At 35.9% G+C, this 26,310-nt stretch overlaps 1 protein-coding gene across 12 annotated transcripts in view; it reads right to left on the bottom strand.

The window, feature by feature from the left end:
- The window catches only part of RNF180 (ring finger protein 180), a 207,519-nt gene that overhangs the window by 16,831 nt on the left and 164,378 nt on the right, over positions 1–26,310 (bottom strand). For 8 of the 12 annotated variants that reach the window (XM_047417118.1, XM_047417120.1, XM_017009388.2 and 5 more), the window contains exon 7: positions 25,633–25,758. In XM_047417118.1, coding sequence (XP_047273074.1) covers positions 25,633–25,758 — 126 coding nt within the window. Of the gene's footprint in view, positions 1–16,776; positions 25,759–26,310 lie in introns of those variants that run through there. The other 4 variants (XM_017009386.3, XM_047417116.1, XM_047417122.1 and 1 more) reach the window with 2 other exon arrangements.

Below are 26,310 nucleotides of genomic sequence, written 5' to 3'. Positions count from 1 at the left end.
AGTGATTCCTTTCAAAATTTTTAATTTTGATCAAGTTCAATTTACTTTTGTTGCTTGTGATTTTGATGTCATATCTAAGACTCCACTGTTCATAAATATTTACCCCTCTTTATTTTACAAGATTTATGTTTTTTAAATTTTATATTTAGGTCATTGATCAACTTGGAGTTAAGGGGTCCAACTTCATTCTTTTGCATATGTAAATCAGCTATCCTAGCACTATTTATCAAAGAGACTATTCTTTCCCAGATGAATGGACTTCATTAGTAGACTTGTCAAAAATCCACTGGTCATAGATATATGAATTTATTTCTGTACTTTCTATTCCCTTGATCTATATGTCTATTCTTATGGCAGTACTACACTGTTTTGATTACTGTAGCTTTGTAGTAAGTTTTGATATTATGAACACTGTACTTCTTTTCAGGATTTTTTTTGGTTATGCAAGACCCCTTAAAATTCTGGATGAATTTGAAGATCATCCTTTTCATTTCTATAAAAGCGCTGTTGAAATTTTGATAGAAATTGTGTTAAATCTGTAGATGGCCTTGGGCAGTACTGATATCTTAACAGTATTAAATCTTCTAATGCATCAACACAGGATGTCTATTTATTTGGATCTTCTTTAATTTCCTTCAGCAACGTCTTAGTTTTCAGTGTGCAAGTTTTTAACATCCATGCTTAAAATTATTCCTAGGTATTTTATTCTTTTAGATGCTATTGTAAATCGAATTGCTTTTAGTGTCCTTTCTGGATTGTTCATTCCTAGTGTACAGAAACAACTGATTTTTATGTGCTGATCGTATAACCTGCCATGTTGCTAAATTAATTAGCTCTAGTAGCTTTCTTCTGAATTCTTTGGGATTTTCTGTATACAGGATTAGGACATCAGAATACAGATAGTTTTACTACTTCTTTTCCAATTTGGATGCCTTTTATTTATTTATTTATTTTTAAATCAAATTGTTCCAGCTAGAGTTTCCAGCACAATGTTGAATAGCAGTGGTTAAAGTGGACATCCTCATTTTGTTCCTAATTTTAGGGGGAAAGCTTTCAGTTTTTCACAAATGTGTGGTGTTAGCTAGGAGGTTTTCATAAGTGCCCAGTGTCATGTTGAAGCAGTCTTCTTCTACTCCTAGTCTTCTGAGTGTGTTTATCATGACAGGGTGCTAGATTTTGTCGAATGCTTTTCTGTATCAAGTAAAACAATCCCTTCCCCCCTTTATTAATGTGGTAAATTACATAGATTTTTTTTATGTTGAACTATTCCTGCATTCCTAGATAAATCCCATTTGGTAATAATGTAAAATCCTTTTAATATGCTATTAGAATCTGTTAGTATTTTGCAGAGAATTTTTGCATTTATATTCCAAAGGGATAGTGGTCTATAATTCTTTTCTTGTGATAACTTTGGCTTTCATACTGAGGTAGTGTTGTCCTCATAGAATGAATCATGAAGTATTTCTTCTTCAATTTTTTTTTTGAACAGTTTGAGAAGGATTGGTGTTGCTTCTTTAAATACTTGGCAGAATTCATCAGTGAAGCTATTTGGTCCTGGACTTTTCTTTCTTGGGAAGTTTGTGATTACTGATTCAATCTTTTTACTTGTTATAGTTCTGTTGAGATTTTCTATTTCTTCTAGATTCAGTTCAGATAATTTGTATGTTTTTATAAATTTGTGCATTTACTTAAGTCCTCTAAGTTTTGGTATATAATTGCTTATAGTATTCTCTTATAATCCTTATTTCTGTAAAAGTGGTAGTAATGTCTCCACTGTTTTTTATTTATTAAGCATCCTCTCTCTTTTATCTTTGTCAGTGTAGGTAAAAGCTTGCCCAGTTCTTTGATATTTTCCTGACCAAATTTTGGTTTTGTTGATTCTATTTTTCTATTCTGTATTTCATTAATCCCTATTCTAATCATGTATTATTTCCTTCCTTCTGCTAGCTTGGGGTTTAGAGTGCTGATTCTTCTAGTTCAAAGTATAAAATTATGTTGACTTGAGAGCTTTCTTCTTTTTTTAATGGAGGCATTTACTGCTATAAAATTCCCTTTTAGCACTACTGTTGCTGGATCCTGTAAATTTTCGGTATGCCATATTTTTGTTTTCATTCATATCAGTGTATTTTCTAATTTCCCTCGTGCTTTGCTTTCTTCTTTGACCCAACTGGTTGTTTGAGTGTGTTTTTTAATTTCCACGTATTAGTGAATTTTTCAGTTTTCTTTCTATATGGATTTCTAGCTTCATTCTATGCGGTCAGCGAAGATACTTTGTATTGCTTCAATCTTTTAAAATGTATCAAGACTTACTTTGTGGTACTACGATGTCTTTTTAACTTGCATGACTTTAAATATCAAAAGTAAACACAGATTTACATATTTCAATTTTTTCCTTAGTTAATAGGGCTATAATACTTGACATTAGGTTATATAACATACATTTATATTTATACTCATGAATTCTGGGTTTATGTTATACTATTTCAAATTGGACACAATTAGGCTAAATACGACTTATTTCTTATTTTGTTTCCAGAATACATATATTAACATAATAAATACCAGAAGGCAATTTTTCTATTAAAAAGATAAGCAAACAGCACTTATGCAATCAATTAGTGATATTAGTTTTGATTGAACGGTTGCCTTCCAAGATTGAGGTAAATACAATCTCTAATTTTTGTTTATTTGTTTTACTTTAATAGCATTCAGTTTATGTTCTATTACATTTTCTAATAGTCATTTTATATTCAAAATTGAGGATTTTTTCCACATGAATGAAGCAAAACTTAGTTTTTCTGTAATAAACAGAAAAGGTTTTTTCTTCTGTTAATATGGAATACAGAATAAACTAGATATTACCAATTAGTCTATTTATAATTATGTATCTATGTATTAAAAACTTAAATTCATTGGTAAAGTTTTAACAGCAAATATAGCCTAGAGATTTTAACTTTTAAATTTAACCTAATGTGTAATATATTACAAATTTATATTTTGTCAGGAAATACATCAAAGAGTCTTATTTAGGTTGTGGAACAGACTATATTAGATCATAACTAACAGTCATTTAGGATAGATATGTTCCCCCATTTTACAGATTAAAAATAAAAAAAGAAGGCCGTAGCTTTGAGTTTAATTCATTTGCCATGGGTTACATATGTGATGGAGCTGAGTCTTCAGCCAGTTTCTGTTTATGTATCTATGACAGTACTGTGAATTTCAGGTATTTCAAACTTTAAGAAAATTCAAAAATCTTCCTTCAGTAGCCTGATATTTTATATCAAAAAATTCCAAACAAATTGTTTTTTGAGAAGACAGCTATTTTAAAAAATCATTTTATCTATTCTTTCTAAATACACAAATATATCTTACTTTAAAATCCTTTCTTTGAAGGCAGAAATAAAGATGTTCTTTGAAACCAATAAGAACAAAGACACAACATACCAGAATCTCTGGGACACATTTAAAGCAGTGTGTAGAGGGAAATTTATAGCACTAAATGCCCACAAGAGAAAGCAGGAAAGATCTAAAATTGACACCCTAACATCACAATTAAAAGAAATAGAGAAGCAAGGGCAAACATATCAAAAGCTAGCAGAAAGCAAGAAATAACTAAGATGAGAGCAGAATTGAAGGAGATAGAGACAGAAAAAACCCTTCAAAAAATCAATGAATCCAGGAGCTGGTTTTTTGAAAAGATCAACAAAATTGATAGACTGCTAGCAAGACTAATAAAGAAGAAAAGAGAGAAGAATCAAATAGATGCAATAAAAAATGATAAAGGGGATATCACCACTGATCCCACAGAAATACAAACTACCATCAGAGAATACTATAAACACCTCTATGCAAATAAACTAGAAAATCTAGAAGAAATGGGTAAATTCCTCAACACATACACCCTCCAAAGACTAAACCAGGAAGAACTTGAATCCCTGAATAGACCAATAACAGGCTCTGAAATTGAGGCAATAATTAATAGCCTACCAACAAAAAAAAAGTCCAGGATGAGATGGATTCACAGCCGAATTCTACCAGAGGTACAAGGAGGAGCTGGTACCATTCCTTCTGAAACTATTCCAATCAATAGAAAAAGAGGGAATCCTCCTAACTCATTTTATGAGGCCAGAATCATCCTGATACCAAAGCCTGACAGAGACACACAAAAAAGAGAATTTTAGACCAATATCCCTGATGAACATTGATGCAAAAATCCTCAATAAAATACTGGCAAACTGAATCCAGCAGCACATCAAAAAGCTTATCCACCATGATCAAGTGGGCTTCATCCCTGGGATGCAAGGCTGGTTCAACATACGAAAATCAATAAATGTAATCCAGCATATAAACAGAACCAAAGACAAAAACCATATGATAATCTCAATAGATGCAGAAAAGGCCTTTGACAAAATTCAACAACCATTCATGCTAAAAACTCTCAATAAATTAGGTATTGATGGGATGTATCTCAAAATAATAAGAGCTATTTATGACAAACCCACAGCCAATATCATACTGAATGGGCAAAAACTGGAAGCATTCCCTTTGAAAACTGGCACAAGACAGGGATGCCCTCTCTCACCACTCCTATTCAACATAGGGTTGGAAGTTCTGGCCAGGGCAATCAGGCAGGAGAAATAAATAAAGGGTATTCAATTAGGAAAAGAGGAAGTCAAATTGTCCCTGTTTGCAGATGACATGATTGTATATTTAGAAAACCCCATCATCTCAGCCCAAAATCTCCTTAAGCTGATAAGCAACTTCAGCAGTCTCAGGATACATAATCAACGTACAAAAATCACAAGGATTCTTATACACCAATAACAGACAAACAGCCAAATCATGAGTGAACTCCCATTCACAATTGCTTCAAAGAGAATAAAATACCTAGGAATCCAACTTACAAGGGATGTGAAGGACCTCTTCAAGGAGAACTACAAACCACTGCTCAATGAAATAAAAGAGGACACAAACAAATGGAAGAACATTCCATGCTCATGGATAGGAAGAATCAATATCGTGAAAATGGCCATACTGCCCAAGGTAATTTATAGATTCAATGCCATCCCCATCAAGCTACCAATGACTTTCTTCACAGAATTGGAAAAAACTACTTTAAAGTTCATATAGAACCAAAAAAGAGCCCGCATTGCCAAGTCAATCCTAAGCCAAAAGAACAAAGCTGGAGGCATCATGCTACCTGACTTCAAACTATACTACAAGGCTACAGTAATCAAAACCGCATGGTACTGGTACCAAAACAGAGATATAGACCAATGGAACAGAACAGAGCCCTCAGAAATAATACCACACATCTACAACCATCTGATCTTTGACAAACCTGACAAAAACAAGACATGGGGAAAGGATTCCCTATTTAATAAATGGTGCTGGGAAAACTGGCTAGCCATATGTAGAAAGCTGAAACTGGATCCCTTCCTTATACCTTATACAAAAATTCATTCAAAATGGATTAAAGAGTTAAATGTTAGACCTAAAGCCATAAAAACCCTAGAAGAAAATCTAGGCAATACAATTCAGGACATAGGCATGGGCGAGGACTTCATGTCTAAAACACCAAAAGCAATGGCAACAAAAGCGAAAATTGACAAATGGGATCTAATTAAACTAAAGAGCTTCTGCAAAGGAAACTACCATCAGAGTGAACAGGCAACCTACAGAACGGGAGAAAATTTTTGCAATCTACTCATCTGACAAAGGGCTAATATCCAGAATCTACAAAGAACTCAAACAAATTTACAAGAAAAAAAACAACCCCATCACAAAGTGGGCAAAGGATGTGAACAGACACTTCTCAAAAGAAGACATTTATGCACCCAAAAGACACATGAAAAAATGCTCATCATCACTGGCCATCAGAGAAATGCAAATCAAAACCACAGTGAGATACCATCTCACACCTGTTAGAATGGTGATCATTAAAAAGTCAGGAAACAACAGGTTCTGGGGAGGATGTGGAGAAATAGGAACACTTTTACACTGTTGGTGGGACTGTAAACTAGTTCAACCATTGTGGAAGACAATGTGGTGATTCCTCAAGGATCTAGAATTAGAAATACACTGGGTATATACCCAAAGGATTATAAATCATGCTGCTATAAAGACACATACACACATATGTTTATTGCAACACTATTCACAATAGCAAAGACTTGGAACCAACCCTAATGTCTAGCAATGATAGACTGGATTAAGAAAATGTGGCACATATACACCATGGAATACTATGCAGCCATAAAAAAGGATGAGTTCACGTCCTTTGTAGGGACATGGATGAAGCTGGAAACCATCATTCCCAGCAAACTATCACAAGGACAAAAAACCAAACACCGCATGTTCTCACTCATAGGTGGCAACTGAACAATGAGAACACTTGGACACAGGAAGGGGAACATCACACACTGGGGCCTGTCATGGTGTGGTGGGGGGCAAGGGGGGAGAGATAGCATATTAGGAGATATACCTAATGTAAATGATGAGTTAATGGGTGCAGCACACCAACATGGCACATGTATACATATGTAACAAACCTGCACGTTGTGCACATGTACCCTAGAACTTAAAGTATAATAAAAAAAAGTAATAGAAACTCAAAAAAAAAAAAGAAAGAAGACTAGCCTGTCATAACTTATTATTATTACAATGGCAATTAAAAACTTTATTAAAACAAAAGTATCAATAAAATACAAAAAAAATGAAGTTAACAACAACAACAACAAAATCCTTTCTTTGGCATTAAAAGAATAAGCAACCCTCATTAATGTTTATGTCTATTTGTAACCTCAGTTTTTCTCAAGGAATGGTGGTGACAGACATTTGGAAATATAAGGGGACTTTTTTGATGTAAGAAATGGGAGGATTTACTTCTGGTTATGTATGCTAAATGTTCAGCAGTGTTGATTTGGTTTTATAGCAAGCAGTGTTGGGTTAGAATTGACCAACAGGTGTCCTTTTAGGAAACACTTTAGAGGTTACTTATTTAGCAATCTTTTTTAAACAAAACAAGGAATTAAGGAGAAAATGACTCACAGGTAGTTAAAATCTTAAGCTTATTGGATGAACCTCGCTTGTTAGATCATGTCTCAGACAAGGTATCATTTAAGTAGCAATATTAATATCAAAATAATGCTATACTTTCTAAATCTACAAGTAAAAATTCCTTGACATGCTGAATAATAAGTTATATCATTTGGTAATCAGTTTTATAAATAGTCATTTAGAGAACTAAAAAATCTGTTTTATAATTTTAGACTTACATATAGATTTTGTTACTAGTACTTAATATTTTAAATATCATCCCAACAGGAAATATTGTTCAGAAACATCAGACTCCATTAATTTAATGACAATTCAATTTAGAAAAAAATTTTATCAGGTTGAGAGATTTTCTCTTGAGGATTAAAAAAAATCGCTATTGCTTCAACTATGTCTTATCTTTTCAAAGCTCTGCTGCTTGTGTTTCCAACAAAATCAGTGCTCATTTGAAAGGAAGTTGTATTATCAGATTCAGCTTGAAAAATCTCCTATATGGCCACCAGTTGTTTGTATAATCTCTTTTAAAAGTGAATATTAACCTATCCTTTATGTGTGAATTCTTAGGACTCTAAGGAATGCAGAATAAAATAACTTGAAAGAATAAGTTTCACAGTGAACTCAAGGCTTTTTCAAGTCATTGAAATTCTAAGTTCTCTTTGAAATGTTTTTAGAAATTATCCTATAGCTTTTCATTTTCTCAGGCCAGAAAAAAGTAACGAAAGAACACACAGTACCTGTGGCATGTATTATTGTTTTCTCTCTTTGCTATTAGAAAAAAAGGATATTTATATGTAGTATTGAAGAAAAACCTAATAGAACAAAATGAAATATTTTTAGATTTATGTTATAAAATCTATTATTTATATATAACCTTGCATTATATCCAGCTACCTATACAATATTTCAGTGCACCAGAAATGCATAAGATACATATTTTAAGTGATACTATAATGGAGTAGCACCTTTATTATTAACAAAATAATGATCTTGTTCACAAAATAGTGGTATCTATTATTTCTCAACAAAATCTTGAATTATTACAATGTAATCTTAGCAAAGCTAAAACATTTATGTAGAGTAAGATTTTGCCAACAAAAACCACTTCATTGCCAGCATAGTTATGAAGTTTTTCTGCAACACTTTATTTTTGAGTGAATAACATTTGAAGCTGCTTTTGTTAATAACACAGTCCTGACACTCGTAAAGGCAAAGATTTCAACTTCTAAACTGCTCAGTTGTTTGCAAGGTTTTAACTGCAAATTATAAATCTGTAAATATTAAAACATTTCATATTATCCTATTTTAATGAATGCTCTAATAGCTGCTGAAATTTATGAGTATATATCTCATTTAATATTAATCTGTTTTAAGTCATAATAAATATGTCCTACTTCATGTGCACTGCAACAATGAAAAATGCAGCTACAGTTATGGGATGGTAAATCATGGTAGTAGCTCCACCAGCTGGCAAAAAAGGTCTGACACTTTTAAGCTTGTCTTCTGATCATTAACATACTCCTCAAGTCCCTAAAAGAAAGAAGTTGGAACTGCCCCTTCCCTCTTCTCCAGATAGTTGTAACCTTACTTTTTGGAATTTCTTTTCTTCTTCTGGGACTACCTTGATATCCATTTTAAACCACTCCTCTTGTTTTACAGATTTTTTTGAATGTAATTTTTTATAGACTGGAAAAAAGGCAAATAAATTTAATGCCTTGAATACAGTATTGAAGTACTATAAACATTTTGTGGTCTCACAAATCCCATGGTGATTTCCCCAGGGTGCTGTTGTTCTCAGCATATTGGCTAAACTCCAGTTTGTACAATTACTTAGATTTCTTAAATTTGCACTGTAGTTTCCAACCAAACTTGCATATGCTATACAAAACAAATGGACAATAGCCATGCACTATTAAAGTATCATTATATGCCAGAGTTAACTTTATTTCGGTATAAGGCAAACACTGTTCGTCTCTTTTATTTATAACATTGCATTTCTTCTGATTAATTCATTCTTCATCATAGTTCAGATATGCAGAAAATAAACAAGTCAGAGAATAAACAAAATAATCTTTCAAGGTACCTTTCCATTCTGAGTCCACAATTCTATTCTTACGTTCCCAAGTCCTATCATCTTTTAGAGCAGTGTAATCATAAACTTGACTTTTTGGATGCACATAGTTATCATCTGGGGAGCTTTAAATAATACTGATGTTTGAGACCCATCTCCAGAGATACTGAATTAATTGGTCTGGGATATGGCCTGGGCATTGGGACTTAGTCAAGGTCGTAAATATGAAAGAACAGAAACTAGGCCAGGGACAGTGGCTCATGCTTGTAATCCCAGCACTTTGGGAGGCCGAGGCGGGTGGATCACTTGAGGTCAGGACGTTGAGACCAGCCTGGCCAACATGATGAAACCCCGTCTCTACTAGAAATACAAAGATTAGCTGGGCATGGTGGCAGGCACCTGTAATCCCAGCTACTTGGGAGCCTGAGGCAGGAGAATTACTTGAACCTGGGAGGTGGAGGTTGCAGTGAGCCGAGATTGTGCTACTGCACTACAGCCTGGGTGACAAGAGCAAAACTCTCTCAGAAAAAAAAAAAAAAAAAAAAAAAAAAAGAAGAAAAGAAAAAAAGAAGAATAGAAACTAGTAGCCGGAATTGTTTTTGTTTCAAAAAAAAACAAACCAAACCTTAGCTCTTATCTTCCCTCATGTCATGAATATTTTTTTTCCATCTGCCAATGTGAGTTGAGGACCTTGGAATTTTCCAAGATAAGATGAAAAGTTCTGTTTCATAATAATGGTCTTATTTTGTAGTTGCTCTATTTTGGGAAGCCCAATTCCTGAAATTTTAGATTAAGATTATGAATGCTGATGGTTATCTCTCCTGGAGTTCTTTACCTCTTTATTAGTATCATCAAACTAAATGCTCATTTGATTGATTTGAAATTAATCTGAGAAATTCAAATTTTACTTTCCCTAAAAAAAAATCAATGATTGCAAACTGTAATTTCCTAGAAGCTGGTTATTTTATGTCATTTTGAAAAATATTTTAACTGCCAATATAATTGTACTTCACACACATAAAAAATCAGAACAAAAATTCCTTCCAAATTTAAGGATTTTTTTGGATCTAAAATAAATTTGTAAGATTTACATGTATTCAGAATAATGGCTCAGACATAATAGTAGGTTTTGGTCAGTAATGTGAGTTATATTAGATAATTATCCAATCCTTAACTTACATGAAGAACAGCAAATTGTTTATAATGTGTTCCTTTTTACATCTGTCATGACAGGTGCTGTGAGTGTGGTTGATTGGAAGTGGCCCAGCCTTTAAAGATAAATCCTAGCTTTCAAATCATTTAGATCTGAACATTGTGGAAAATTTCACTAAGAAATTGCTTAGACTATAGACTGCATCTCTTCAATCCATCTTTAATTAATACATTTTAAACATATTTTATTTACTGGGTATCTCTCCATTATTTTTCTCTTATATCAGTGTTGGGGTTATTATGGTATTTCCTGATAAAGTTATGCCAGAGACCAAGAAATACCCCTATGGATAGTTATCTTTCCCAGTGGAGAGGCATTCCTCAGGATCAAGAAGCCAAAACTAAGTAGAAACCATTTATTAGGAAAGAGGATAAGACATAGAGTGCCATATACGGACACTTCTGCTGTGCACTGCGGAGCTCCAGAGGGCACCCTTCATATATAAGTAAGCCAAAGGTGCTTCCTGGAGTTGGGCAGTATGGGATCCCCGATTTCAAAGCTCTCCTTGCTTTCCTAAATTAGAAGAGTGTTGGAGGTGCATAAACTCAGGTGGATAATTCTCTATGATGAGGTGGGCTAGAAGCCCTTTAGGGGCTATACATTTTTAAGTTATACCTTGCAAATTGCATTATTTAGATTCTGATGAATGGATCACTAGCCAAATGAGAAACAAAACACTGATTTTATTAATATAGGCAATCACTAGTAATCCCCCAAACACAAGGCTTACGGGTAAACTGGCTTGAAGAAGGAGGGGCTTCTTGTTCCCTTCTCTACTCTTCATCTTGGGATCCATATAAATAAAGACACAGAACTAAGCCTACAGACTGGAAGTCTCAGTCCATTTATTCAATCAACTCAGCTGCACAGATGAAGCAGAATTCAGAAATGTATGACAGGTTACTATTATTTAACCTGTAACAAGCAGAAGAGAATGAGAACAGTGAATTGGCTAAAAGAGGCCTTTCCTGGGTTCAGAAAGTGAAAGGCAACCACTGTGCTACAGTACAGGAAGTAGAAGTGAAGGGGAAAAGAATAGGCAATTCCACTCCAAAGCACTGACTTTGAACACAGAGACCGCTGCTAATAACACAAGCCCCAAACTTTCAGATTAGCCACTATTTTTCACAGGTGAAGGATCCTGTACACCATCATTGTGTGTGTTTTTTTTTCTAGCAGTTCCTGAGATAGATGTGTTGAAATCTCCAAGTGTGATAGTAGATTTATTTCTATTTCTTGTTTTAATTCTATCAACCTTTGTTTCATATATTTTGAAACTTTAAGTTGCATACAAATTTATGGTTTTATGTTTTCCTATGGAATTGCCTCTTTTATTGCCATGAAATGTTCCTTTTTTCTCCAATAATTCCTGTTCACTTAAAGTCTAATTTTTTACATTAACATAGCCACAGCTGCTTTCTTTTGATTACTGTTTACATATATATAATTTTCTATACTTCCAACCTTTCTGTGCCTTTATATTTAAATGCCATCTCTTATAAACAACATATAATTGGTTCTTGTTTTTCTTAACCCATCTGCCAATCTATTTTAGTATGAATTTTTAATGTTTACATTTTTTATTTTCTAGATGTTTTTAAGATTTTTTTCTTTATATTTGGGTTTCAGCAGTTTGGCTGCTCTAGATGATGTCTCTAGATATGGTTTTCTTTCTATTTATCCTAATTAGGCTATGCTGAGATTTATCAATAGGTACTGATGTCTGTCTTCAGTTTTGGAAAATATCCTTAAAAAATGAAGGTGAAATAAAGACATTTCAGGTATCCAGTAGACCTTCCTTGCTAAAGTTCTGTGCTTCCAGCTAGGATCCTTTTGCCCTAAAGAGCTACCTTTAGTTTTTCTTGTAGTGTAGGTCTACTGGATACCTGAAATGTCTTTATTTCACCTTCATTTTTTAAGGATATTTTTGCTGGATAAAGAATTCTTGGTTAGCAGTAAGCCATTAAACAGCATGTTTAATGTTCCATGAGCACATTAAAGATGTTATTCCACCATTTGGTCCTGTGGTGTTCCTGTTCAAGTCAGTCATCCTTGCTTCTTGGAAGGTAACTTTTTTTTCTAGATGTTTTTAAGATTTTTTTCTTTATATTTGGGTTTCAGCAGTTTGGCTGCTCTAGATGATGTCTCTAGATATGGTTTTCTTTCTATTTATCCTAATTAGGCTATGCTGAGATTTATCAATAGGTACTGATGTCTGTCTTCAGTTTTGGAAAATTCTTGACAATTAGCTCTTCAGCTATATTTTTCTATTCCCTTCTTGTTCCTTCAGGGTCTCCAATTACACATATTCAACAGATTATATCCCACATAGTCTGCTGTTAAAGCCATATCATATGTTCTTAATTCAGCTATTGCACTTTGTAGTCCCAGACTGTTTTATTCTTTTTTTATAGCTTCTATTTTCTATTGGCAGTTTTTTACCTTTTTATCTATTCTTTTTCTCTATTTTCATTAACACTTTTTTCCTAATGGATATTTTAAAGTCTGCTAACCCCAACATCTAGATCAAAGAGGAGATGTGTTTCTATTTTGTACTTTCTTTTTTGATGAGTGGTCACATTTTCCTAACCTTTTGCATATATCATAATTTTTTATTGTATGAAAGATCCATGGAGACTGAAGTTGATATTTCCCTCCAGAGAGGACTGGACCTTTCTTTTGTCAGGCAGACAGAGTGAGAGACTCATCCCCTCAATCTAACAATTAATAAGCAGGGTTGGGTTTGAAGTTAGGTTGTACTTTCATTATACTCAATCTAATTTCAAACGTCTTAAGGACACATGACCTACGCTGTGTTTATTGCTGCCTCATTTCTTTAATGGGACTTTATCTCCAAAGCACTACGGAGTTCACAATGGGACTGCAGAAAATTTTTAGTGTTTAGTGTGTTGTTTTTCAGGTCTGGACTCCCTACTACAGCATGGTTCTCTGCATTTTTTGCTTAACAGTTTATAAGGTCCCTAGCTCTTCTAATCTGAAAGCTGTGCTTTTCAGAGGTTGTGGATGTTTCTCTTTAGCCATCCATCCTATATAGGTTTAAAATATGAGATATATCTTAAGGAGGATTCTTATTATGTATCTGTTATAGGTCCCTCCCTGTAGGATAACTTGATTCCTAAACTCTGAGACTACAAGAGATTTCATTCTGTCTTTTTTAGCCAACTTTTTAAGCCTTTTTTACTCCCAAAGCTCTCAGCAAATGTCTCATGTAGAAAATCGGCTATATGTTTGGACTCCTCTTCCAATCCGACATGTCAGTCTCTATGGTTATCAAAACTTCTGCTGATTTCTATTCCCCTTCATAGAGTCCTCTGCCCATGGCTAGACTAATCCTCAGACTCAGAAAATACTTCCAGTAAAGCAAAGAGCTGGCAATATTAGCTTTCTTAGGGGGCTCTGATCATACTGGAGTTTTAATTCACCTAGTCTTCAATTCCATATATCTCAAATTTGTTTGTAAATGTGATTTTTGTAACTTATAATTTCCCCCCAGTTATTGCCACTGAGAGTGATCGCTTGCCACCACTTACTATATCCTACTCAGAAGCAGAAATTCCCACTCCTGTTGTTGCCAGAAGTAATATACTTGACTTATATCTGTCCCTGCTCTTTCTCAGGGTTCTGTGGTTGTTTTCTCGTTGTACTCAGAATCAGGTCACATTCATCCCTCTAATCTGGCCTCCTGATCTGCCATTTCCATCTTTGCTGCTGCTGATCAAATGAGATTTCTACTCTTCTAGTGTTGAAGCAGAAGAGGACAGCCCTGAGCTACCTTTTGCTACTGTGTCTCAAATGTTGTATAGATCAGATCTGCTATAACTTTTCATAACATTTTTGATCATTTGGTATAAAAGGTATGACACAACATCAAGAATAACCTGCAGCCATTGCACTGACATGGATTCATCCTCAGGATACCTTTGTACTCCTTGCTCACCTCTGTGTCCCAGGAGTGAGTATCCACCATCACCCCCAAGAGTACTCTACTCTTCATGATTGTAGAATAGGATAAATCTAAACCTACCATGAGGTCTCGCAGAAATGGAGTAGGTTTTCCATCATCTCACTTAAGGCCTACATACTCAATCTTCATATTCTATACCAGACTGACCACAGTTTCCCAGAATGATTCACAATGAGTACATACATTGCCCATGGCCCCAACAAGGTAGTCACACAGTGATCAAACTTTAGAACACTTGAACATTTCTGAAATCTTTTCTTTTAATTAAATGACACCATTTATTGATATCAACAGTCCAGTTTGAGTTAAGAGCTATGCTGAGCTCCTTCACTTCCTTTCTGCCCTTTCTTCTCAAAGGATAAAAAAATCCAGTATCAGTCATCTTATTATATCTTTGAACACTTTTACTTGGTGTCATTTATTCCTTAGGGTAGTTAGGTAAAGCATTATTTTGGGACACATTATTAAAATTGTGAGCTCTGGGCCAAGGTCAGGACTATGTGGCCACCACGCTTTCACACCAGGAGAATTTATTTCTTGAGCTAATTTCAGAAGTCTTGTGGTTACTGGTTGAATTTTTAATGCACAAGCATACATGTGCACTTTTATAAATGCAAGTGTTTTAAAATGAAGGCATCATATCCCACCAACATCCAATTTCATATGGAATTAACAAGCAAGTTCTATATATGTGAAATAATGAAAAGACTAAAAATTGTGAGTGTGTGTGCAAAAGGAAGAGTCAGAGGGAAAGAGTAGGTAAAGGGAGAGGGAAGGAGGTAAAGGAAGAGGGAGGGAGGAAAGGAGAGAATGAAACACTGCTCATAATTTTTAAAATAAGTTATGAAGTGGTGATAGTTGAACAAAATGTACAATTTGCATTATAAGTCATTTGGGTCATGAACTTAATATAGAAGCAAAAGGCTTCTGAAATTCTAAACTCATAAGTAAACTGTGTAACAAAAATAGAACCTGATTCTGCTAAAAAGAACAAGTTCAGAATTTGCAGGCCTTTTCAAAAAATTATCTTGTGAACAAAATTGTTCCAGTTTCAGAGGAAATGTAAGGGTTAATGTACCTTTCAGCTCCAAGGCAGTCCCATGTCTACAGCATATTTTAAATTTTCTCTGACTTACCTCCAACTTTCTGAGAAGGTGGATTTCTGCGTTATATTCACACTCATGCTGTGTGAGCATGTACTGTTTTGTTTTCTATTAGAGATAATCATTCTTTTCCATGTGGAGTTCTTTGATTTATACTGAGCATGTTTAAACTTGCAGCACCAATCTAACACCTTCAGGCAAACTAATGACCAAATAAAATAATTCTCCAGGCTTTCATGAAAAATGGATGGATTGTCATAAATATATATCAGACACCTACATTTCAGCTGCATGTTTTTGTTACAGTGAGTAAAATTAAAACATGGAATTTTTAATTCTTGTTAAAAATTCCTTTGACTTGAGTATGTTTAGAAAAGAAATTCAACAATGTAGAACTTTTTGCAAAAATGTTTTAGTGAAACCTCTTTGCTACATTGCTTTGTGTGTGTATGTGTGTATACATATGCATGTAATTATATATATGAATGGTTTTTCAGGGAATAAATTAACATAGCATAGATGGAAACCATATCAGTTGGATACTGTTCAAATAAACTGAGGATTAAATGCCTGAAAATGGTAGGTATTTCAGGGAAAGGAATTACAATTGACAGAGTCATCCATGCAACTAGTATCTGATAAGAGATTAAAGAGTGATAGCTCACATTTATCTAGATTATTTCCATTCCTTTTCTTATTACCCATTTTATGTGTTAATACATGAAATATGTATTTGTAAGAAGAAAAAAATTTAAAACGTCTGCTTACTTATTGATTATGTAAGACACTTCATAGGGTGAAAAGGACAAGTATTAGCTAGTTTTATGCCTGAGTTCAAGCTTTTATACAAGCTTCTTTGGCTGGAAAATCTGTAACTGTTTGTCTTCGCAATTTTGTGTGTGTGTGAAAAAAAAAAACCCACTAATTTTGTGAAGCCAAAGGCGTATATGGGAATGTCTATTTTTTTCCCATAAGATCCCCCTTTCCACCTTACTTCCATCTACCAACCATGAAAACCAAGCTGAGAAGTAAATTTCTTAGGGAACCTATTAATGTTGCATAGATGGCATCTTATATGAAATAGTGTGGTATAACTTGAAATCACAGGTGCTAATTTTCCAATACAAACCTGATTTTGTACAATTGTTATTTTTAATCAAGATGATCCAACCAGTATGTGATTGTGTGGTTTATTATAAAAAATAATTAGAAATGAAGAATAAAAAATACTACAAGTGATGAAGGGAAATTTATAGCCTTAAGTAATAATTCAAAGAAAGTAAAAAGGATGCAAACTGACTTAGAAAGTCACCTTAATATGGTATAAAAATAACAAAATAAATCCAAAGACAGTAACAGAAAGGATTTAATAAAGAACAGAAATGAATGTATAAAAACAAAGATACAATAGACAATTCTCAAATTTGGTAATTTAAATGGAATAATAAAATTGACAAATACTCAGCAACATCACAGAAAAATGAGTAGATAATCAGAATTCAAAGAGCATAACTAGATATACAAGACAGATTAAAATATTATAAACAAAGGCTAACAAATTTGACACAAAAAAAATTCTCAGCAAAAAGATATATAAACTTAGGAAGAAATTGACAAAACACAGTATAAAAAATAAATACAATTTTACTCATAAATAAGTAAAATTCTGAGACAAAATATTAGCAAACCAAATCTAGCAGTGTTCTAATGTCCTAACATTAGAACATCAATTACAATCTATTAATATGATTCAGTGCATTAACAAATTGAGGAAGTAAAGCCGTATGATAATTTCAAGAAATGCTGAAAAAACATCCACAAAATTAAACTCCATTTAAGAAAAACTACAGGCATTAGAAATTAGGAACAGATGAGAGAACATTCTTAAAACCTGATGAAGGGTACTTACCAAGAATACAGAGCAACAATTATACCTATTTGTAAATATTAAAAGCATTACTTTTTTTTTTTTTTTTGAGATGGAGTCTCGCCTTGTTGCTCAGGCTGGAGTGCAGTGGCGCGATCTCCACTCACTGCAAGCTCTGCCTCCCGGATTCACGCCATTCTCCTGCCTCAGACTCCTGAGTAGCTGGGACTACAGGCACCCGCCACCACGCCAGGCTAATTTTTTTGTATTTTTAGTAGAGACGGGGTTTCACCGTGTTAGCCAGGATGGTCTCGATCTCCTGACCTCGTGATCCGCCTGCCTCGGCCTCCCAAAGTGTTGGGATTACAGGCATGAGCCACTGCGCCCAGCCAAAAGCATTCCTTTTAAAATCAGGATGCTATGATTACTTTTTCCGTTCAAAATCAAATAGAAGTCCTAGCTCAGAAAGTCTGGTAAGTGCAAAGAGAAAAAAGCATATGCATTAAATTGAAAGATATAAAATTGTCCTTATTTAATATTGTCTTCACTGAAAGCCACAAAAACCTTATAAATAATTAGACTTAATAAGACAATTTCGTAAGGTTGTTAAATATGATAACAACATACCAATATCAATATATTTCAACCATTGTGGAAGTCAGTGTGGCGATTCCTCAGGGATCTAGAACTAGAAATACCATTTGACCCAGCCATCCCATTACTGGGTATATACCCAAAGGACTATAAATCATGCTGCTATAAAGACACATGCATACGTATGTTTATTGCAGCACTATTCACAATAGCAAAGACTTGGAACCAACCCAAATGTCCAACAATGATAGATTGGATTAAGAAAATGTGGCACATATACACCATGGAATACTATGCAGCCATAAAAGAGATGAGTTCATGTCCTTTGTAGGGACATGGATGAAACTGGAAATCATCATTCTCAGTAAACTATCGCAAGGACAAAAAACCAAACACCGCATGTTCTCACTCATAGGTGGGAATTGAACAATGAGAACACATGGACACAGAAAGGGGAACATCACACTCTGGGGACTGTTGTGGGGTGGGGGGAGGGTGGAGGGATAGCATTAAGAGATATATCTAATGCTAAATGATGAGTTAATGGGTGCAGCACACCAGCACGGCACATGTATACTTATGTAACTAACCTGCACATTGTGCACATGTACCCTAAAACTTAAAGTATAATAAAAAATAAAAAAGATTGCAAAAAAATATATTTCTAGACAACAATAGGAAACCATATAAAAATCTCAGCAAGATTGTATAATATTCAGAAAAGTAGGCTATTATATGAAAAAAGACAGATGTTGAACCTTTAACAAAATATAAGGGGAAGATTCTAGATAAAGACCGAAAAAGTAAAACTACAAAATAAATATTTAAAACATCTAAGCGAGGCTTGGCAGGGTGGCTCATGCCTGTAATCCTAGCACTTTGGGAGGCCGAGGAAGGAGGATTGCTTGAGCTAGGAGTTCAAGACCAGCCTAGGCAACATAGTGAGAGCCTGTGTCTACAAAAACAAAATCAGCCAGGCATGGTGGTGTGCTCCTGTAGTCCCAGCTACTCAGGAGTCTGAGGTGGGAGAATTGCCTGAATTGGAAGGTTGAGGCTGCCGATCATACCACTGCACTCCAGCCTGGGTAACAGAGTGAGACGTTGTCTCAAAAAAAACAAAAACAAAAACAAAAACAAAAAAAAAACAACAACAAAAAAAGAAAATCAAAGTGAAAACCTCTGTGGTCTGGGAATAGGGAAGAACCTAAATAAAAATTTAAGACACAAAGCGAAAAACATTTAATTATATCAAAGTTAAGAATTCCTTACAATGAAAGATACCATGGACAAACAATATGTAGATGATAAAAATGGCAGAAGAAATTTGTAATGTCTAAAGTAAATAAAAAATTAATATCTAGAATATAAAAGAAATTTTATAAAACCAATAAGGGCAGAAACCCCCATAGTAAAATAAGCAAAGTAACTACAAAAGAGGCATCTGAAAGGCTAATATTTAAAATGACCTTAAACTATTATCAGATGAATGTAAATTAAAATGAGGGTTTCTAATTCTCATTCCCTGTCAACATTTTCCATAGTGCTAATTTTTCCCAACCTTACACACTGATAATAGGTGTCTAGGCTAGTCATTTGGGAGAACTGTTGGCAATATTTAGTCAAGCATACTCATATCCTATGACCCAGACATTCTGCTTTGGAGCCTATATACCAAATAGATATTCACAGCCCACAGTAGGATATTCATTAGAGTGTTTTTATTGTGGCAGAGAGTTGGAAGTATTCTAGAAAGTGAATAGATAGACAAAATATGGTAAATGCACACCTTAGTAGAGCATTAATTAGAAGTCACAGATTAGAGGTACGCATAACCACTTGGATGGATCTAAAGGGCAGTGCTAGGTGAAAGAGAAACAATGCAATATATAAGACCATTTTCACAAATTAAAAATATATGTGCAGAAACAATATACATTCTATAAGAACACAAAATGACACACATTAAGTAAACCCAATATAATGGTTGGCTATGGGATGAGAGTGAAGTAGAAAGAAGGATATGGGGATAAAAAGAAAACAAATGAGTATGTGGAACAGTGATGATGGTATGCCATAAATTAAGTGTGACTAGGACAATTTTTCTGCACTGAAGTTTCAAAAAAGGAGAGAAGAGGACAACATAGCAAGTACATGGGAATAAATCTAGCCAAAAGATGTGCGAGATATTTATAAAAACATTATAAAACTTTATTATAGGACATCAAAGGAGATCTAAACAAATGAAGAGATAAACAACACTGATAGAAGTACTTTTACTCTAAGGTATCAATACTCCCCAAATTGATTTATACATTTAATAGGACCCCATTTCCCAAGTAGAACATAGTTTTTCATGCAGCTTGACCAGGTGATTTAAAAATTTATATGGAAGAGCAAAGGGCCAAAAAATGGCCAAGACACTCTTGCAGCAAAACAAATTGGAAGGGGGGATATCAAAACTTACTAAGTTTTTAGTGACTGAAACAGTATGGTATTGCTATAGGAATAAAAAATTATACCAATGGACTCAAAGACCTCAAAACAGACCCAAGTGTGGAAATTAAAATATGACAGATTAGTACTGTAGATCAGTGAGGAAATGATACATTATTTTCAACAAATGGTGGTAGGAAAAAAATCCAAAGAAACTGGGTCTCTACCTACAACAAAGAAAGTAAATCAATAAAAAAAAAATTAACACAAATCAGTTTCAAAGATCTTTCAAATTATTTGAAAAATACATAAGAAAATATCTTTATGACCTTGGGGAAAGAGAAGAATTTCTTAAGCAAGTACACACCAGAAAGATGAAGAAATTGAAGAACTACAATTCATTAAAATATATCAAAGTAAAAAGAACCCACAGACTGGGAGACAATAACTGCCATTCATATAACCAACAGAAAAAAAGTCACTAGAAAATATTTTAACATTCTTAAACAACAAAAAAATACAACCAACAGAAAATCGTAAAAAAGCATTTCACAGATGAAGAAATTTAATGATCAATACACATATAAAGATATGTTCAACCCCCATCAGTAATCACAGTAATGGAAATTAAAACCCCAATGAGATATCATTTTCTACCTATCAAATCAGTAAAATCTAAAAGACTGAAAATACCAAATGTGGTAGACAAAGCTGGTGATAAATCATCACAGCCATTTAGGAAAACGGTTTTGGGTAGGTTATGAAGTTAAAGATGTGCTTTTCCTATGACCCAGCCAGTTTCTACCTGGCATTTATTCTAGAGTAACTCTTATGTTCCAGGAGACATCACAAGAGTGTTTATAGAAACACTGTTTATAATAAAAATTGGACCACTCAATTGTTCATCAACAAGAGAATGGATAAGTTGGGTTGGGGCATTTTCACATAATTGACTACAGTGTAGTAGTAAAAAGAATGTGGCCACACTTACTGAAATGGATTTGAGAAAAATATTGAATGACAAAGCAAAGCAGAATATATACATTGCTACCATTATAAAAGTTAAAAGACAAGCAAAATTAAGTAACATGATTAAGTATACATATGTATACTTATACAAAGAAATGATAAATACAAAATTCAGGGGAATCAGGGTAAACAAAGAAGAACTACAGAAGGTGCTTCAATAATATTGGTAATTGAGGAGTACAGTTCCTGATTAAAATCCTATGTGCGATTTTTTTTCAGGCCTCAACAGACCATTACAAAGGCTTTATCTGGCAGGATTCATGGGAAAAAGCCAGATTTGTTGTACAACCAGTGCATTACAATCTCTGAAGGGAGCTGCAGTCAAGTTCTCAGGCTCCCCTGGCTGCATATACACTTTTACGTATTTATATTCATATTCCCAGCACCTTTGTTACTACTTATATCTATCTGACGGCTTGGGCAGAGGTCCTTCTGTGTCTCTACAAAGGCTTTCTTATGGAGGTTGGAGGGGGAAACACTTTTCTCCACTCTGACTCAGTGCCCATTGCTTTCCTACTCCTAGCCTTTCCTCTTTGCCAATCCTCCTGACCTCAGGGTCTGAAAAACTGCTGGAGCCTTTTGTTTGGGACATTCTCAACAGTGAGTGAATCCTTACTTCTGCCCTGCTCTATGTGGCCCTGGACCAGTGTGCACTGTTGCATGAGATAATTGAACAGGAGGAGACAGCATTTCCTCTGGTTTTAGACTCTTGGTTATACTATTGCAGTAAATGATTAAAGGCTTAACTCCTTCATTTTTGGCTTGATACTTTAATCGGCTACTCCAGACACCTGATAACTCAGCTCTTTCCCAGCTCAGCTGAGCTCCTGATAGAATATATATATTTCTTATGTTGGGTGGTGTAATAATGCTACTTTGAACCTCCTTCATAAACACACACTTAAAAAATTAAGTTATTTGGAACTCCTATGGGGAAGACAAGAAGAAATCACAAGGAAGCAACTGCTTTAAATTATAGCTTCTGTACTACCTCAGAATACAAAAAGACAAGGGAAAGTGTAGAGTTATCCAGAAGGTACTCCATTCTTTTAGAACTTTGGGTATAGCATAGAAGGTAGAATACAAGGGACTGTTTTGAAGAACACTCTTAAAATAATAAACTTACTTTTCTTTGGTATGAAATCCTTTAAGACTCGATTTCTTACATTTGATTTCATATTTTGGGGGCTAAATGTGACCTATTAAAACCTATCTATGGCCAGGAACAGTGGCTCATGCCTATAATCCCAGCACTTTTGGGAGGCCAAGGCGGGTGGATCACCTGAGGTCATTCATTATTCAAGACCAGCCTGGCCAACATGACGAAACTCCTTCTCTACTAAAAAGCTTGGCATGGTAGCACGCACCTGTAATCCCAGCTACTTGGGAGGCTGAGGCAGAAGAACTGCTTGAACCCAGGAGGCAGAGGTTGTAGTGAGCTGAGATTGCGCCACTACACTCTAGCCTGGGCGATAGAGCCAGACTTTGTCTCAAAAAAATAAAATAAATGAGTAAAAAATAAAAATAAAACCTATCTATACCAAATCTCTAGATATTAAATTTTTACAGTTACTGACCACTTTATAAAGTAGTATGTGCTTATATAATGTCCTTAAACTATTTTCTTCATTCAAATCACTGTGTAAAGTTATATTCTTATGTTACTTTCTTTGAGAGTACCAATTTCATGCACCAATTTTTCTTTTGCCACAATCATAGGGGCTCTGCTTCTATCTCCTTTTGGTGTAGGTAGTACTGTACTGATCTTGTTGGTCTTACGCAGAAGACCAACCTCCTTTTGGTGTAGGTAGTAGCTGTACTGATTTTGTTGGTCTTATGCAGAAGTTCCTCCTGTTCCCTGAAGATCACAGTTCCTCATATCTGGACTTTTCTACCAGGTCCCATAATGTCATAATTGTTAAATAACGAAAACTGCACAGTAGTTCATGCTTTGATAAACTACGGTTTCATAAAAGATGAAATTATATTTTATGTCCATATTGTATGTTCATATAGTAACAAATTCCCAAAGCAGAAAAAGGTATTAGATATTGCATTACCTTCATTCCTTATATTTTTATATTCCAATTAGTTATAATTTACAATGTACTTTCACATTAGCCCATTTAATCTTTACTACTATATTAGTTAGGTGAGGAAGACATAATTATTCCTATTTTACAGATCAAAACAGAGATCCTATGATATCGCTGAAGTCATGTTGATAACTTAGACCTAAAGCCAGAAATTGGTATTCCTTGACCACTGCACATCTCTAAGACACCCTGACACCAAGGCTCTGTTACTTTCTATTTGTTTTAAACTTGTGGGACAACTATAAAATATTAAAACTAAATAAATAGAGCTTCTGCTAATGAACGCATTATTAGGAATCTTTATACAGAGTACTGGTGCCTTTGTTAACTATTGTCACAGGATCCCTAGGGTGTCACTTCACCAGCCAGAAACCTCTGTAGCTGACGGCATCTTCTGCCTGAGTACTGCTTGTGCCTGCTGGGCCAGTTCAACCCACTTGGCCTGGCAGGCTGTGCTTGGCTCTTACTACTGGCTCAGATCCCACATCTGCCAAGTGCAAGCCAGGTGCAGAATGGCAAGGGGTGTGTGGTTGAGCAAGCGTGAGGTCCAGCCACTGTGCACAGCCAGGCATGCTGGCTGCTGTGGCGGGGCAGGGAGCTCCAGGTGTTGGCTCTGTGTGTGGCTGTGGCTGGATGAGATATACTTCATGCGGCTTCTGCTGTGGGCACCCGAGTCAGGACGAGGTAAATGCAGTGGTGCCTGGAAGCTTGGAGACTCCAGGAACTGCAGAACCCCAAGGAGGGTGTCACAGCCCTGGCTCAGGGATCTCTACATCTGGGCTCCTCAAAGGGCTGCAGCTCTTCTTGTCTTGTCACCGTCAATGTGGCGAGCATGGGGCGGGGGTGTGTTTCAGCCCTTATTGTGTTACAGTTCTTTTAGTCCTGCCACTCAGCAGGTCCTGAGTTCTTGTCCCACATTCAGGAGGAATGAGGTATGCAGACAACTGGAGGGTAAGCAAGGTGGAGAGGAGCTTCACTGAGTGGTAGAACAGTTCTCAGGAGACCCACAGTGGGTATCTCCTATTCACAGGCAGGTTGTCCCGCTGTCTCTACAGCCCTCAGTGGAGAGGAGACTCACAGGTCATATTGTCAGGTAGGTTGTCCCACTGTCTGCCTGAGTCTGGCTGAGTCCAGGGTTTTTATGGGCTAAAGAGGGGAGGAAGTGCATGCTGACTGGTTCATGGGTGGCCATAGGCAGGCCTGGAAAAAGCACTGTAAGTTCTCACTCTGGTCCACAGAACTGACAGCCCAGCCCCCAGTCTTCAGGTTTGAAGAAGGTGGGGCTTTACCAGGGACCTGTCCCCTTTCTGCCCAGGAGCCTGTCTGCCTCCTGCCACCATCAACCTGCCATCCACGGTGCCCACAGTGCCCAAGCTATTCTTGCCAAGCGGTGTATGCAGGTTGCGCTGAGCTGCCCTCAGCTCCCCTCAGCCTTCCTCCCATGCTTGTCAGCACCCAGAGTTTGGAGTGGGCCTAGGCAGCAGGGGGCTGGCATGTCAGGACTGCCCTGAGAGTGTACACACTTGGCTGGGTTGCGACAGTGCCTGGGCTTGGCTTCAACTTTGCTGTGAAATTGGAGTGGGTGCCAGGAGCATGGAGAGGCCAGGCAGCAGGAGTAGGCATTTCTGAGCCTGCAGGGGCAAGGGGGCTTCCCCAGTCCCCAAGAGTACAAGGATGTCTCGGTCCGAAGCCATGGCTGGGTGGCTGCAACTTTGCCTGGGTAGGCAGGGCTCCCACCCTGCTAACTTGGAAAGGGGCAGGGCTCCCACCTGTTCCTGGCTCCTGCCAGCTCTGTGGAATGTGCAGCCCTGGCTTGTGCCTCCCCGACTGCAGCTGGCTTCATAGTAGCAGCTGTTCCAGATGGGCTGCCGCTGCCATAAATATGACTTTGTCAAATCTGATACTTTTGAGACGTATTTTCATTATCTATGTACTAAACAGTGATAGCATGGCAAAGTCAATTTAGTCATGAGTCTTCGGATTTGCTCTTATTGTATAGTCTTCATTTTCTTCATTTGTACATCTGTAGTTTTCAGCAAGGAGATACTTAGCAAAATCCTTATTTAAAATTGATTAATACAGAAATATGTTTCCCCTAATATTTCTGAGACAGCAGGAAGTTACTTTTAAGAACAGACCTTAGACAAAATTACCAGACTTTTTTTTTGGCGTTAGATTTCCTTACCTCCAAAAAGATGAAATGCTTTTCTGCAGCTTGGTAGGGGCCATTTTGCAGAGTTGGATTTCTGAAAGCTTTGTTTTATTTTCAAATATTCTTTAGTAAAGAAAGTTTTTGTGGCATTGTTCAATTCTAGAATAAAGCAAAAGAAAATAGGATTTTGAAATTAATTTGAGTAAAATGGCAAGAAAATGACAAGTGAATACTGTAGTATTTTGATACTATTTGATACAATTCACACCTCTTTAAGTCAGTGAAGACAAAAATAGATTCAACATTTTTTTCTTTACTCAAGCAAATACAACTTCCTCAAGTTCACATTTGGTGCAACTTTGACATGCCTACACATAGAACATAAATCTACTGAGTAGCTCCTATGTCAAGCAGTATAGAGTATATAATGATAAATAGGACATCGTCCCTCACCTTAAAACAACTGTAGTCTAAAACAGTGGTCCCCAACCCCTGGGTCACAAATGGGTAGCAGTCCATGGCCTGTTAGGAACTGGGCCACACAGCAGGAGGTGAGCCACAGGCAAATAAGCATTGCTGCCTGAGCTCTGCCGCCTGTCAGATCAGTGGCAGCATTAGATTCTCATAGGAAGTGAACCCTATTGTGAACTGCGCATGCAAGGAATACAGGTTGCACACTCCTTGTAAGAATCTAATTAATGCGCCTGTAAT

The sequence above is a fragment of the Homo sapiens genome, chromosome 5 (genome assembly GCF_000001405.40).
Source record: "Homo sapiens chromosome 5, GRCh38.p14 Primary Assembly".
Lineage (NCBI taxonomy): Eukaryota > Metazoa > Chordata > Mammalia > Primates > Hominidae > Homo > Homo sapiens.
Note: the sequence above shows the minus strand (reverse complement) of the source record. Positions and strands in the feature narration are given on the sequence as shown.